Genomic DNA, 13,769 nt, shown 5'->3' with positions numbered 1-13,769 from the left:
GCCCTAGGGAGAAATAAAAAGGTAAATGTGTTAAGGCTTCAAATACTAATCTTTTTCCTAGCTACAGAAAGCATACTTTGACAAAATGCTGCTAATTAGATTTCCTTAATGAAAATGTCATCCTTTGCCAGTATAAAACAGAAAATTTTATTGTTCCTTACTACTAAAATAAGGAAGATATTATTAAGCCACAGAACTTATGTCAGAGACTATTATTAGGATGATTCAGCTAAACTAAAAAGATATTAGGCATTTTTTTTTTCACATACTGATCGACCAGTGCTTATATTCTACATAAAACAAAAATGTAAGCAGTTAAAAACAATAGGTGGAAAAAATGTTAAGGGATAAAATATAGCTTTGCTTGAGAAGAAAAGAGATAAAAGGTGAATAACATAGAGATTGGTGGCTATTAGAGTACCAGGCTGCAGCTCCCCAGTCACAGTGGTCTGCAGCGTCTTGAGCTGCACATGAGATTGATGGTGGAGAGGGCATCTCCAGACATGTGCTTTCCCTAGAGCTTGCTGACGGGGCTTTCTCAGCAGCATATCCTATTTCCCCATGTTGGTTGGATTCTTAATAGTTTCAATAGTTTAATGTGAGGTAGAAAGACTCAAATAATTATATTGGAGGTGGAAATGGTAAAGGAAAGACATATATTATTAATATTGTGAAGAAAGAAAAATCCTCTAATTGAAGAGGATCCCCTTAACTGAAGGCTAAAACCCCTCATTGTTTGACATTTGACCTTTAATATATTTCCCAGACTCACAGACAATATCTTGAATCTAAAGGATTTCGATGTATCTAACAAGAAAGAGATTCTGCACATTCCCAGATTCTCAGTGTGAAAGCAGGGAATTAATGCTATTCAAATGTAAGAGATCCCAGTCTGGGTAAGGCAGATTGATGATTATGCTTACTTCAGCATGAGTTATTTTGGATGTTGCATTTTACCCTTAGGGTAGCACAGGTGCTCCAGGGAAGCCTGGTCAGATGGGAAATTCAGGCAAACCGGTAAGACACCATTTTACCTCTCCTGAAGTTCTAACCTGTTGTAATCAGTAGGTGTTAACTTTTTTTCTACCTTCCTTCCTGATAACAGGGCCAACAGGGGCCTCCAGGAGAGGTGGGACCCCGAGGACCCCAGGGGCTTCCTGTGAGTATTCCTTGCTGTTCTTTCCTAAAGCACCTTCTCAGGACTTTGCTGGATGTTCTTCCATTCATTCATCCATCTATCCATGAATGCTGTCTGATGTTTGAGCCCATGCTAGTCCAAGACACACAAGGAGATGAAATGCTATTTAGATGCACAGCATGCCTTTTCAGAAAATGGAAACAAAAATAAAGTGCTTCAAAAACCATGGTGACCCTTTCTGCCCTCACCCCATGTTTAAGGAAATATTTTAGTGTGATTTAAAAAGACCCAACGTTGAGATACAATTCACATACTATATAATTCACCTATCTTTATTGATTTTTAGCATATTGATGGAATTGTGCAACCATCACCCCAATCAAGTTTAGAATATTTCCATCACCTAAAAAAAGAATCTTATACCCACCTCCCACCTGCAGTCATCCATCATTTCCTCTTAATTCCTTCAGTTTTAGACAACCACTAATCCACTTTATGTCTCTATAGATTTGCCAATTCTGGAAGTTTCATAAAAATGGAATCATACAATATGTGAGCTTTTTGTTTTTTAAAAATAAATAGTTAATTTTTTAAGAGATATGGTGTCTCTCAATCACCCAGGTTGGGGTGCAGTGGCGCAATCGTAGCTCACAGCAACCTTGAACTCCTGGGCTCATGCAGTCCTCCTGCCTAAGCCTCCCGAGTGGCTGGGACTGAAGGGGTGCATCACCACACCTGGCTAACTTTTAATTTTTTTTTGTAGAGATGGGGTCTTGCTATGTTGACCAGGCTGGTCTTGAACTCCCGGCTTCAAGAGATCCTTCTGCCTCAGCTTCCCAAAATGTTGGGATTACAGACATGAGCTACCATGCCCGACTGTATTTTATTTTTTTTCCTAATGATTGGCTTCTGTCACTTAGCATAATGTTTCAAGGTTTATCTATGCTGTAGCATGTATCAGTACTTCATTTCTTTTTATTCTTGAATATATTTAATTGTGGGGATTAATTATGTGGCTATATCACATTTTATTGATCCATGCATTGGGTGATGGACATTTGAATTGTTTCCATTTTTTGGCCGTTATGAAAAGTGCTGCTATGAACATTCGTATACAGGTTTTTGTGTGGACATGTGTTTTAATTTTTCTTGAGTGCCTACCTAGGAGTGGAATTGCTGGGTGATAGGGTAGCTCTGCTTTGGAGAAACCACCAGACTTTTCTTAGTGTGAGTTTGTAAACTTGTCTATTTTATAGCAGCCATAGCAATGACCATTTTCTCACTATACACAGTTTAACCCTAGAGAGAAATTGATTAGGAAATTAAATATTATACACTTAAATTTGACTTTAAAACATTCTCTCTGGCCTTCAGTTTCAGTTCTTATTTTCAAAGGCTGCGGAATAGCCAAAAGAACTCCAAGTGAGAACACAGAAACATTTCCAAATATCATTATTACTTTTTTTGAAGCATTTCTTGGGCTTGTTGAATGAAGATTTTTATACTTGAGAAAAGCAATGTATTCCAGGTGTCTTGTGCCATGAGAATGGAATTTCTCCACTTCTCACAGACATTTGTCAGCCGACTTCCACCAGGTGGTTTCCTGAGGTTTCTGCAGCCAAAACAACCAGCTCATAATGCCCCTCACTCACTTGCTCTGTGCTTATTTTATTCTTTTCTTTTGCTTGAAGCTTGTGAATTTCTAATTAAAATACTTTCCACAAGTTAACTGTCGAAGCAATGACATTATAGCCAGATCACATTTCTAAAACAATGAAGATGCTATATGACTAGCCCAGGAAGATTGAGCAGTGTGTGGCCATTAGAGCTTTGCGAGTGTTTACTATTACATCTCTTATTCATCTTATTTTATTTTATTTTAAACAGAGTCTCACTCTGTTGCCCAGGCTGGAGTGCAGTGGTAGGATCTTGGCTCACTGCAATCTCCACCTCCTGGGTTCAAGTGATCCTCCCACCTTAGCCTCCAGAATAGCTGGAACTACAGGTGCACACCACCATGCCCAGCTAATTGTTGTATTTTTTATAGAGACAGGGTTTTGCCATGTTGCCCAGGCTGGTTTCAATCTCCTGAGCTCAGGAGATTCACCCTTTTTGGCCTCCCAAAGTGCTGGGATTACAGGTGTGAGCCACCTCACCCGGCTGTATTAGTCACTTTAAAGAGCAGAAAGCTCTATATAGTTAAAGGAACATTGACTGAGCACTTGTTGTGGGACAGAACCATGCATGAATACAAAACATGACATGGAGTAGGGAGAGCTGCTTGGCCAGTCACCAGTTAAGTGCCGTGGGCTGCATAAAGCAATGAAGAACCAGAGGCAGCACCTCAGGAGAGGATGGGGTAGGGGGTTGATTCTCTTATGTGAGGAGAGGCAAATCATAGGAGGCTATGCTGATGCAGGGTTTTGGATCTGAGTTTTAGATTTTTGATTTTTGAATTTCTGTAAGAGTCTAAATTCTTGCCATTGCTCCTGTCCCTGAGGCTCAAAACCTCAGCATTTTCCTCCATCACATTTCCTATCACAAATAGGACCTGTTGGTTCTGTCCTCTTTTCAAGATCTCTTATATTTGACTCTTCATTTCCATTCCCACTACTATCACCCTGGCTCAGGTCATCACCTACTGCTTGGATTACTGCAATTGTCTCACCGGCTGCAGTCTTTCCTTTCTCTACCAGTGTCTCCCAAAAGGATATTGCTGCAACTTGGGCTGGGCTAGTTCTTTGTTTTCCAGAACTCTTGCACATGGCAGGGTGTCTCACATCCATGACCTCTGTCCTGCACGAACATCAGTAGTGTCTCCACAGTCACTGGGACAAACAAAAATGCCAAACACAATTCCAAAGTCCCTGGGGAATGATAGTTCCCTGAGTCTGCACACACCACTGTATTGGTATTTCCAAAGTACAGCATCCATACTCACTTCTCCCCATTTAAAAATCTTCAGTGGATTTCCACGGACAGTAAGAGAAAGTCTAAAATCTTAAACTGTCCATTAACCTCCCTGTTTTACTTCTCATTTCGGCTTTACTCAGATCTTGTGTTCAAGTCAGGCTGGACTCCATGCTAATTCTCAAATACTCTCCGTACCTCTTTCCTGTAGGCCAGACCCTGCATTTAAATGGCTTTTTCCTTCATTTCTCTGGCTCAACATTCCATAAGCCATCTCAGATGTAATTGGAATGTTAATTGCATCATGAAAACATTTCAATTATGCCCTGTCCCCCAGATAGAAGTGATCTTTCCTTATTCTGAACTCTTGTGTCCTTTGTACCCCATGCCGTGGTAACTGCAGAAGGTGCCAGTCATGTCGTTTTCACCGCTGTGTTTCCCACCTCGCTTTCCTCAGGGCTTGCCATAAGGTAGCACTCAATCAATATTTCTTGAAACGAATTGAATCGGAGGCGTAATAAATCCTGCCATGCTGCTTTTGTTGGTAATAACTGACTTCTCACCTGCTATAAAATTTTCTGAAAAATGTCATGATAGGTTATAAATGTTATAGTTCTGGAGCAGAGTTTTAACACCAAATCCACTTACTGAAAGACACATTTGTTCTTTCACTTTACATCATTAAATTCAGTTTTGTAGATAACTTCATACATTTTTAACAATGCCTCACACGTTTGATCAGTTTTTCCTGCAAATCTAAAACAAGCTGAGAAGAAGAAATGAGCTACTGAGGCATGTGGGTTGGAGATGAAGACATGGACACACATTTCTAATGTGTCCTAGAAGCATGTATTTGAAATTAAGTGCTATTTCCTTTAATGTTTGCCAATACTACTGCAAAAATATTGTCTGTTCATTTTGGTGCCTCCAGAGGTTTCATATGGGCGCCTGCCTTTACGATGTAGGCTATGCTTCTGGATTTCTCTATGGCCCTCCCCTTGGTTTTCACCTGGTCTGGGTGGCTCCTGGTTTTGCACAGGCACATGACCTGGGCTTTTCATTTGGTCCTACCATGTGGTAGCTCTCGGTCCATTTCTGTCTTCCTGGCTTCTGAGAACTTGCCAGGGCTTTTGCTGAGTGGGTTGTGTTCATTCTGCTCTCGTGGCACTGACTGGGATGAGTTTCATGCTGATGTACCTCAGTTTTCTGAAGATGATACGTTCCTTGTGTACAGAAGCCTGTCTACTTTCTCTCGTAGTCCTTTACCACCCCTCCAATACCAACAGCCTCAATGACAGAGGTCCACAAATGTTGTATTGTGAAAGATCTAAGCCACCCTCCCACTCCATCTAGGCACTGGCATGTTTCCTCTGTCAATAATTTGTGAAGCTGATGTGTGTGATGGTTAGAGTTTGGACAGATTTTTTTTTTCTGCCTCTGTATGAGGGCATATGTAAACATACACAAGAGAAATATGCAAACTATATAATGTAAAATTGAATAGATTTTAAAAATATCTTTGTGACAAATCTAAATGTTATCATTGTAGTAGGACTAATATGACCTTTCAATGTTAACATGAAAATGGGTTTATAAAAGCAGCAATCTATAGAAATCATAATTGATCTCCTAGGTTAATCAGCATTCTTTTTGCCAGAGAGAGGCACTTAATATATAGTACAGACTAAGTATAGTGATTTATAATTTCCAACCTCTGAATTGGAAAGGTACTGAGGATAGTGTTCGTTTTTCAGTTAGTTAGCATTTTGGGTAGTTGGACAAAGACAACAGCCATTACAAGCTAGAGCATGATGGAATAAAATCCATTTATTGGGAAAATAATTTTGGCAGCATAAGTATAATTAAGTTAAATCTGTTATTTTTTGTGATCTTTTAAAAGTCTAACAGTTCCATTTTAAAAGGAAAACCTCCAACTTGAATTATTTAGCTGTATGTATTTATGGAAATAATTTTTACAAAATAACACCCAGTACTTGTTTATAAAGAAGTTGCCTGCTTGATGATCAGTGATGTTGACAGAAACTGGAAACATGAAAACTAAAGACTTATTTTTTTCCAAGCACAACTTGTGCTTTTAAACAGACTTGGGGGATTTGACAGGCAAACAACATTTAATTAAACATTTGGTTAAAAATGTTTTGGCCGATTTCTTTAGTAATTACCTCAGATCAATATAACTAACACTTCTACTATGCTTACTATGAGACAAGCATAGTTCTAAGTGATTTATGTCTTTTAACTTATTCAATCCTCAAAAAAGCCCTAAGAGATAAGTACTATTTTTATTCCCACTTTATAGATGAGGAAACAGGCACGGAGAGGTTAAGCTGCTTGCCCGAAGTTACCAGATGCATGGCAAAATCAGCTTCAGACCAGGCCACTGGGCTCAGTGTTCTTGTCTTTATTTCCACCCTCGCATATGCCTCAGTAGCTCAAATCATAGCTCCACAGGATGATTTTCAGTTGAAGTTTGCTGGCTAAATGCTGATGTTACAAGACGTATCTAGCAAATTATTTAAAATTTATGGAACTTTGGTGGTGGGCATTTAACAAAAGTCTGAGAAAGCTGGTAAAGACAAACAAATACAACATAAATGCATACAGATTCCTGGATCTTACCCCAGACCTGCAGAATTAGAATCAGAGGGCAAGGGGCTAAATAAAGATAAGGAATGGGGAGATGGGGTTGGGGGGAGGACATCTAGTGCAATATATTTCTAAAGAACTCAGGGGATTCTGATGCATAGCTATCACTGGGAATCAGTGATAGAAGGTCTGCATCTTTTTCAAAGCCCTGATTGGCGGCTGCTTCTTCTTTGTCTTCTTTTTTTTTTGTTTGTTTGTTTCTTTGAGATGAAGTCACACTCTGTTGCCCAGGCTGGAATGCAGTGATGCAATCTCGGGTCACTGCAACCTCCATCTCCCAGTTTCAAGAAATTCTCCCCCCTCAGCCTCCCGAGTAGTTGGGATTACAGGCGCCCGCCATGATGCCTAGCTAATTTTTGTAGAGACAGGGGTTTGACCATGTTGGCCAGGCTGGTCCCAAACTCTTGACCTCAGGTGATCCGTCCGCATCAGCCTCTTAAAGTGCTGGGATTATAAGGCATGAGCCCCTGCGCCTAGCCCTGAATGGCTTCTTAAAAAGAGATGAGTTGGCAGATGTGTCTCAATTTGTTGGGGACGTATGTGGCAGCACAGAGCATCCAAGAGAAATGTACAGCCTTTGGTTATGGTTCATCATTATTTTTGGTTTTTGGGATGGAGTCTAACTTTTTTGCCTAGGCTGGGGTGCAGTGGCGCGATCTTGGGTCACTGCAACCTCCACCTCCCGGGTTCAAGTGATGCTCCTGCCTCAGCCTCCTGAGTAGCTGGGAGTACAGGCACCTGCCACCACGCCAAGCTAATTTTTGTATGTTTAGTAGAGACGGGGTTTCACCATGTTGGTCGGGCTGGTCTCGAACTCCTGATCTCAAGTGATCCACCCACCTCGGCCTCCCAAAGTGCTGGGATTACAGGTGTGAACCACCATGCGCGGCCAATTCATCATTTTTAATGGTAGGATTTTTGCCTTTATTCCAGTTTCTTCTTATTCCTTTATTATAAATTGGAACTCTTGTTGTCATGGGATTTATAAATATTAGCAACTGGGAAGAACAGCCTTTTCCTACCACCCTCTCTTGCCCATATCTGAGAATATGGTTATCACCAAGGCTGTTGAAGACTAAGAGTTTTAGCATTTATTTAGCACACTTGTGGTTACCGGTGCCATGGGTAACCCGTTTACGCCTGAGGTTGCAATTTTTTGAATTTTTACAATCAGACCTTGGCGATGACCTTCAGCAGTAGGATATAAATAACTCCCACATGCTTAATTACTCCCTGAGGAATGTGTTTAGTCTATGTTTTCAGAGATAACTGTTTATATCTTGATTATTTATGTTCATCTTAGCTTAGTAGATGAAATTCCAGAACTTAGAGCAAGAGTATGCATGTTCTTAGAAGACAAAGAAATCACATGAATGGGCATCAGAAACTCGCCCCAACACCTTGTTTGTAACTGTTTGGTCACTCTTGGGAAAATAAACATTACTGTTTTGCACAGTGAGGTGATTTCTGTAAAATTACCTGCATTTAGAATGGCCAAGGATTTATAGGATGGAAGTGAAATAAAAATGAGGAACCACATGCTGTCCATTTGTGCAGTAACAGGGGAGTAAATGCTCACAATTTTACTGATCCTTCTCTCCGTGCTACATATGGTGGACTCTTATGGGTACACAAGTTCAGCAGAGCAGGCTGTGTATGTGGGTCTCTGAGCTGTTCATTCATATATATTACCAAGGGTCTGCCACTGGTTGGAAAGCACTTATAAACTGTAATAAGAACTTAGAAAAGACAGAGAAAATAAGAGTCCAGCAGAGAAAATCTTTGTTATTCACTGGGAAGATAATTAATCCTCCCCCAAATAAATCAAAGATTATACAATCTCTTATTTTAATTTAGCCCTTTGGTTTATGGAAGAGAAAAAAATGTATAATAATCATCTTTATTTTGGATAAGATAGCATAATGGTTCATTTATTTAGAAATGAATACTTGAGAATGTGCCAAAAACTGAGATTTCCCCTTCTGATATTAACTTTTCCCCACCAATTACTATTAATTGTTCTGTGAATTAAAGTCACGTGAGCCCAGTGATATTTAGGATGTCAATCATGATGCACTTGAGAAATTATTTCAAAATGCCAACAGAGCAGACACGATGAGGAAAATCTGTCTTGAACTTTGAAGTTGTAAAGATGGGGTAGAACCCAATTTTTATATTTATAGATGGATAGAGGAATCTATCACAGGGGCTGGTTTTCATCTAGACTCACATTCTCCCAGTATCCACCCTCATGGGGCACTGCCTCTGGCTTCCAAACTGCTCATGAGGTTAAGGACCAATGCATCATCCCAAAGTCATATACCAGACACAGGTTGTTTATATAAAGTTGTTGAAAAATGTTTAAAAGCATTTAGTTTAAATCACCTATAAGTCATATGAAATGACTACTATGAAATTATTGCTAATATTAATTGCTAGATTGTTGTAAACTGGCAAACAGTTCTTAATCCTTTAGAGAAATTCAAAATTCAGAAGGTTTATGGATCTTTACACTTTGTTAAACTTAAATAGGAATAAATAGCACGAGTCAGAATAATCTTATCAGAAGCATTTATAAATATTAAACATTAATATGGAGCTGTCATGTCATTTTACAGAAAAATTAACTTAAAGGACTCCTTTCATTTTTATATGCACCTTCCAGGAAATGTGATTATTTATCCAATAATGTCAGTGTTCAGCTTAGTTGAACATGCATTAGAAATAAAATGAGCTAGCCGGGCGCAGTGGCTCACACCTGTAATCCCAGCACGTTGGGAGGCCAAGGCGGGCGGATCACCTGAGGTCAGGAATTCAAGACCAGCCTGGCCAATATGGCGAAACCCGGTCTCTACTAAAAATACAAAAATCAGCCAGGCGTGGTGGCATGCACCTGTACTCCCAGCTACTCAGGAGGCTGAGGCAGGAGAATCACTTGAACCTGGGAGATGGAGGTTGCAGTGAGCTGAGATCGCACCACTGCACTCCAGCCTGGGCAACAGAGAAAGACTCCGTCTCAAAAAAAAAAATTAGGAAATAAAATGAACTTTTGTCAGATTGCATAAAATTGTATGAAGTTCTCAGGGAAAAAAGTTGAAAAGTTCATGTGTTTCTTTTTCTCAATAGATTAGAAAAGCTTAGCATTTCAAATAAAAATTTGAAAGCTTAGAGTTTCAAATAAAAAATTGAAGTAGGTTCACAAAATAAAATTATTTTTGGTGTATCTTCGTTATAAGTTCTACTTTCTGAAGTCTGTTTAATCTTTTAAGATATGTTTAGAACAAAAATGAGTAGAAGAAAAAAATTTTTACTTCAGAAACTTCAGAAATTTTTACCATCTGTGTCTTTTTGAAGTTGCAATAGTAATTTAAAGGCAAACATATCTATTATGTGTTTCTTTTTTCACTCTGTTGAGGTTTAAGATCATTTGCCAGATGTTGCTTTGAAATGTTCTGTAGACCTGAGAATTTATTCTGTGTTCTAGGCACTGTGCAGAATTCCAAATTAATATTTAACAATACCTTAAGAACACATAATCTAAGTGAGGGCTTAAAACATGGACACAAATAACCATAATAAAAGTTAGGATGTGATTTAGATGTTGAAAGTGACTAATTGCCATTTCATATACATGCATAGCTATCATTTCTAAACGTCTGTAATCACAGTAAACAGCATTCGAATCATTCAATGCAAGATGAACACAGGATGCTGTAGGCACTATGTAGGATGGCCTATGCCTTTAGCTGAAGGAAAAAAACCTAGGTAGGATGTTATTTTATTTACATAGTAACTAAGCATTTGAATTTTGGCAAAATATCCAATTGACAATGTTTGTGTTTTTACAGGGCAGTAGAGGAGAATTAGGACCAGTGGGATCCCCAGGCCTACCAGGTAAACTGGTAAGTAGAAAAGTTTCGTTTATTTGCCTTCTACGAAACACAATGCATTTTTAAAAATAAGCAAGAGGAGAAAACAATTTACAATTGAATTACCTGTACTTGATTTCTCTTGTTATGTGAATATGAGAACAATGTAAAGGGGAAATTTCAAATTATGGGTAGGATACCCTCAGAGGGTATTTTAATCTGCGTGGTTTGTAGCATCCATTTTTAAACCTGGTGAAATGTGAAGTGCTGCATTTGGCCTCTGGTTGTTCTTGGAATGGCAGAAAACAGAGTGAATGGTGCCTTTTACTTCCTGTGCAGTGCTTGTTTACATAGCTAGAGGAGCAGCAGCGCCATTGCAGGCAGTGCGGGGGTGGCGGGGGCTTGACTGAAAAAGCCTACTGTTGCCAAGGAGTGCAAGGGGAACTGAGGACCTTAGGGTGGAGTGAAGGCTGGGAGAACATTGGCCCCGCCCTCTTCTCCTGAGAATATGAAAGAGAGGCAAACCCAAGAAGCAGAGTTCAACCAACCACAGCACGTTTATTTTAGACACAAGTCAACACACCCAAGGTTGTTTCTGCCTTCCGTGCTTTCAGTGTTGCAGTGACAGTAACTCCGGGGACTTTGTTTTTGCTTTCCAGGGTTCTCTGGGTAGCCCTGGCCTCCCTGGCTTGCCTGGGCCCCCTGGACTTCCTGGAATGAAAGGTGACAGGGTAAGAGCTCCAGCACTCCAGAAGGTTCTTTATTTGGAAGGGTGATTTCTACCATGTTGAGAAACAAAGCTTGCTTTTGGCCCTGTGGAGAATTTTCTAGAATTTATCATAAACAGCTATCAAGAAAGATATTTTAAATTACTCAGAGTTGAGATTAAGAAGCAAAAAGTCTATTAATATAATTTAACAGAAGGAAAAAAAGCTGAGAAAAGTAAAAATGTCCGTTGTAATCACACTTTCTACTTAGCCCTCAATTTACATTTCTACTAGTCAAATTTTATGAGGATGTGATCAGAGAATGCCCCAAGTTCCAGAGCCTCTTGGAAAATTGTGACCTAATGTGGAAACTTATGTTTTGGTCCTGATTCTTGTTGGGTGGTGAGGAGTGGGAACGTCCTCTCCCATCACATTATCCGTACTTGTGCTTATCCACCCACCCAATAAGGTTCACTTGAAATTATATAAACAGTTGAAAATACTGAAAAAGTATTATATTTTATTTATTACAGGGTGTAGTCGGTGAACCGGGTCCAAAGGGTGAACAGGTCAGTCTTATTATTTAATTGGTATAAAATGCAATGTTTGATATGCACCATTTCACAAGCAAGGGGGAATGGCTGGTTTATGGGGGTTAATAAAACCATGAAGGCTAACAGTTTTTCTCAATGTGTTCATAGTGAGTGAAACCTGGTGTTGAGTTTGGTCCGCAGCATTGTTTACTATTTTAACAAGCTGGAGCTAAAGATGGCTCTGCTCCAGGACTGCACACTGTCTTTCCTTTGAAGAGCGTGGCTCTGTCTCTGGTTCACGGAATTGGTTTATTCATATCCAATGGAGCCTTCCACAGCCACATTAGAATGTCTTAGGTTTTTCTTGATCAAGACCTCAGCAAATAAACTGTTTATATGAATTAGACTCAGTCCTTTCCCTGGGTTCCTTTTTCTACTGTAGATTCCCTATTTCAAGGGCCAATTATAAAATTGTTGAATATGGTCATTTATCCTTCATTCTAGCTGAAACTCAGCCTCACCTTCTGGCTTTCCTCTCCGCTATTTTCTGATTGGGACTAACCACTGACAGCTAGATTGGAAAGCCGCTGAGAGCATTTTGTATTTCTGCATGATTCTGGGAACACTGTGGGCACTTATGAATGCTTATCAATGTTTACTGGTTAAAATTGGGCAATGGGACTAAGAATTTTAAAATGTAACCTTTTATCTTAATTTTTAGGGTGCCTCTGGTGAAGAAGGTGAAGCAGGAGAAAGGGGGGAACTTGTAAGATTTTTTTTTTCTGGTTAATGATGAAGCTTTACCAATTTTGAACTGTTAGAAGTATATATATATACTTCTAACACAGTTCAAAATTGGTATATATATATATATATTCTTATTTTCTGGACACTGTTATCCTCACTGCCTTCTTTAAAGGTTATGATGTTTCTCCTATCAGCTAACAAAAGTCTCCCAAGATTGCAGCCAAGATCAAGTAAAGCAGAGAGGAAACATTGCCATATTGATAGATCTGGCTTTAAACTTTTGGAGAATAAAATTGTACTCTTACAGATGGTGAATCCTCTGTGGCTTTATGTCTAGACATTCAAGGTGATTCTTACATGACTATAGAAAGTCTATGAATAATAGTGCACTATCATGAAAACAATATTCAAGTTTTATTATAGTTAGAAAGCTGTGACTCACAAATCTGACCAAGGGTAATCTCTTTAGTCTAAAACCCTCCGAAAAAGTGACCTCCATCTCCAGAGGAGGCTGTTGCCTAATCTCCAGGAAAGGAATACAAATGAGAACAAGTTCTCTCCACTGCTGGAGCTGCTTGGTTTGCAGGCTCATCATTATGGTTTTGACACAAACTAATGTGACCTAATGTGGAAACTTATGTTTTGGTCCTTTGGGGTAGGGTAATAGATTTTTCAGAAAACAGTTTTAGAGAGCTTGTAGGGCAGGAAAAAAATCCTAGAAATGTTTTATTCATATTTTCAGGATTTAGAGCTAATATAAATATAACATCTAAATTAGTCAAAGCTTCCCAACTATTAAGTAAATTCATAAGAGGATTATTCCAGTTTCATTTTCTGTTAAAATCGTTCATTTTATAGGGTAACGTGATGTTTTAAATCATTGTTTTGTAGTGGAGGTAAGCTGATATGCCAACATGAGCTGAGTTTATAACTAGCATTAGTGGTAGGAAATTTTCAATGTTTATTTTTTAAAGCATAAAAACAGGCATATTTGGTTTAGTAGACTTTTGGGGATGACTTTTAAATATTGTTTGAATTACAAAAATGAAGTCATCAGGTCTAAATGTCTCTTGTGTTTTATAAGATAATGCTATTTTAATATCTTTTGCCTTCCACATTTTTAATTCTTGACACCTAGCATTTGAGATCTGGATGAAACCCTGGAAAGCTCTGATTCAACCCTTTTATTTAACAGATA

At 39.0% G+C, this 13,769-nt stretch overlaps 1 protein-coding gene across 10 annotated transcripts in view; it reads left to right on the top strand.

Annotated features, from left to right (window-relative positions):
* The window catches only part of COL9A1 (collagen type IX alpha 1 chain), an 88,024-nt gene that overhangs the window by 49,806 nt on the left and 24,449 nt on the right, over positions 1–13,769 (top strand). For 8 of the 10 annotated variants that reach the window (NR_165185.1, XM_011535429.4, XM_017010246.3 and 5 more), the window contains 6 exons: positions 964–1,017; positions 1,106–1,159; positions 10,564–10,617; positions 11,244–11,315; positions 11,825–11,860; positions 12,546–12,590. Coding sequence is in view for 9 of the 10 variants with exons in the window: in XM_011535429.4 (XP_011533731.1) it covers positions 964–1,017; positions 1,106–1,159; positions 10,564–10,617; positions 11,244–11,315; positions 11,825–11,860; positions 12,546–12,590 (315 nt within the window). In the remaining variant the exon portion in view is untranslated. The remainder of the gene's footprint in view (positions 1–963; positions 1,018–1,105; positions 1,160–10,563; positions 10,618–11,243; positions 11,316–11,824; positions 11,861–12,545; positions 12,591–13,769) is intronic. The other 2 variants (XM_047418180.1, XM_047418179.1) reach the window with 1 other exon arrangement.

This window comes from Homo sapiens, chromosome 6, assembly GCF_000001405.40.
Source record: "Homo sapiens chromosome 6, GRCh38.p14 Primary Assembly".
Lineage (NCBI taxonomy): Eukaryota > Metazoa > Chordata > Mammalia > Primates > Hominidae > Homo > Homo sapiens.
The sequence above is the reverse complement of the archived record's forward strand: the minus strand, read 5'-3'. Positions and strand labels throughout refer to the sequence as shown.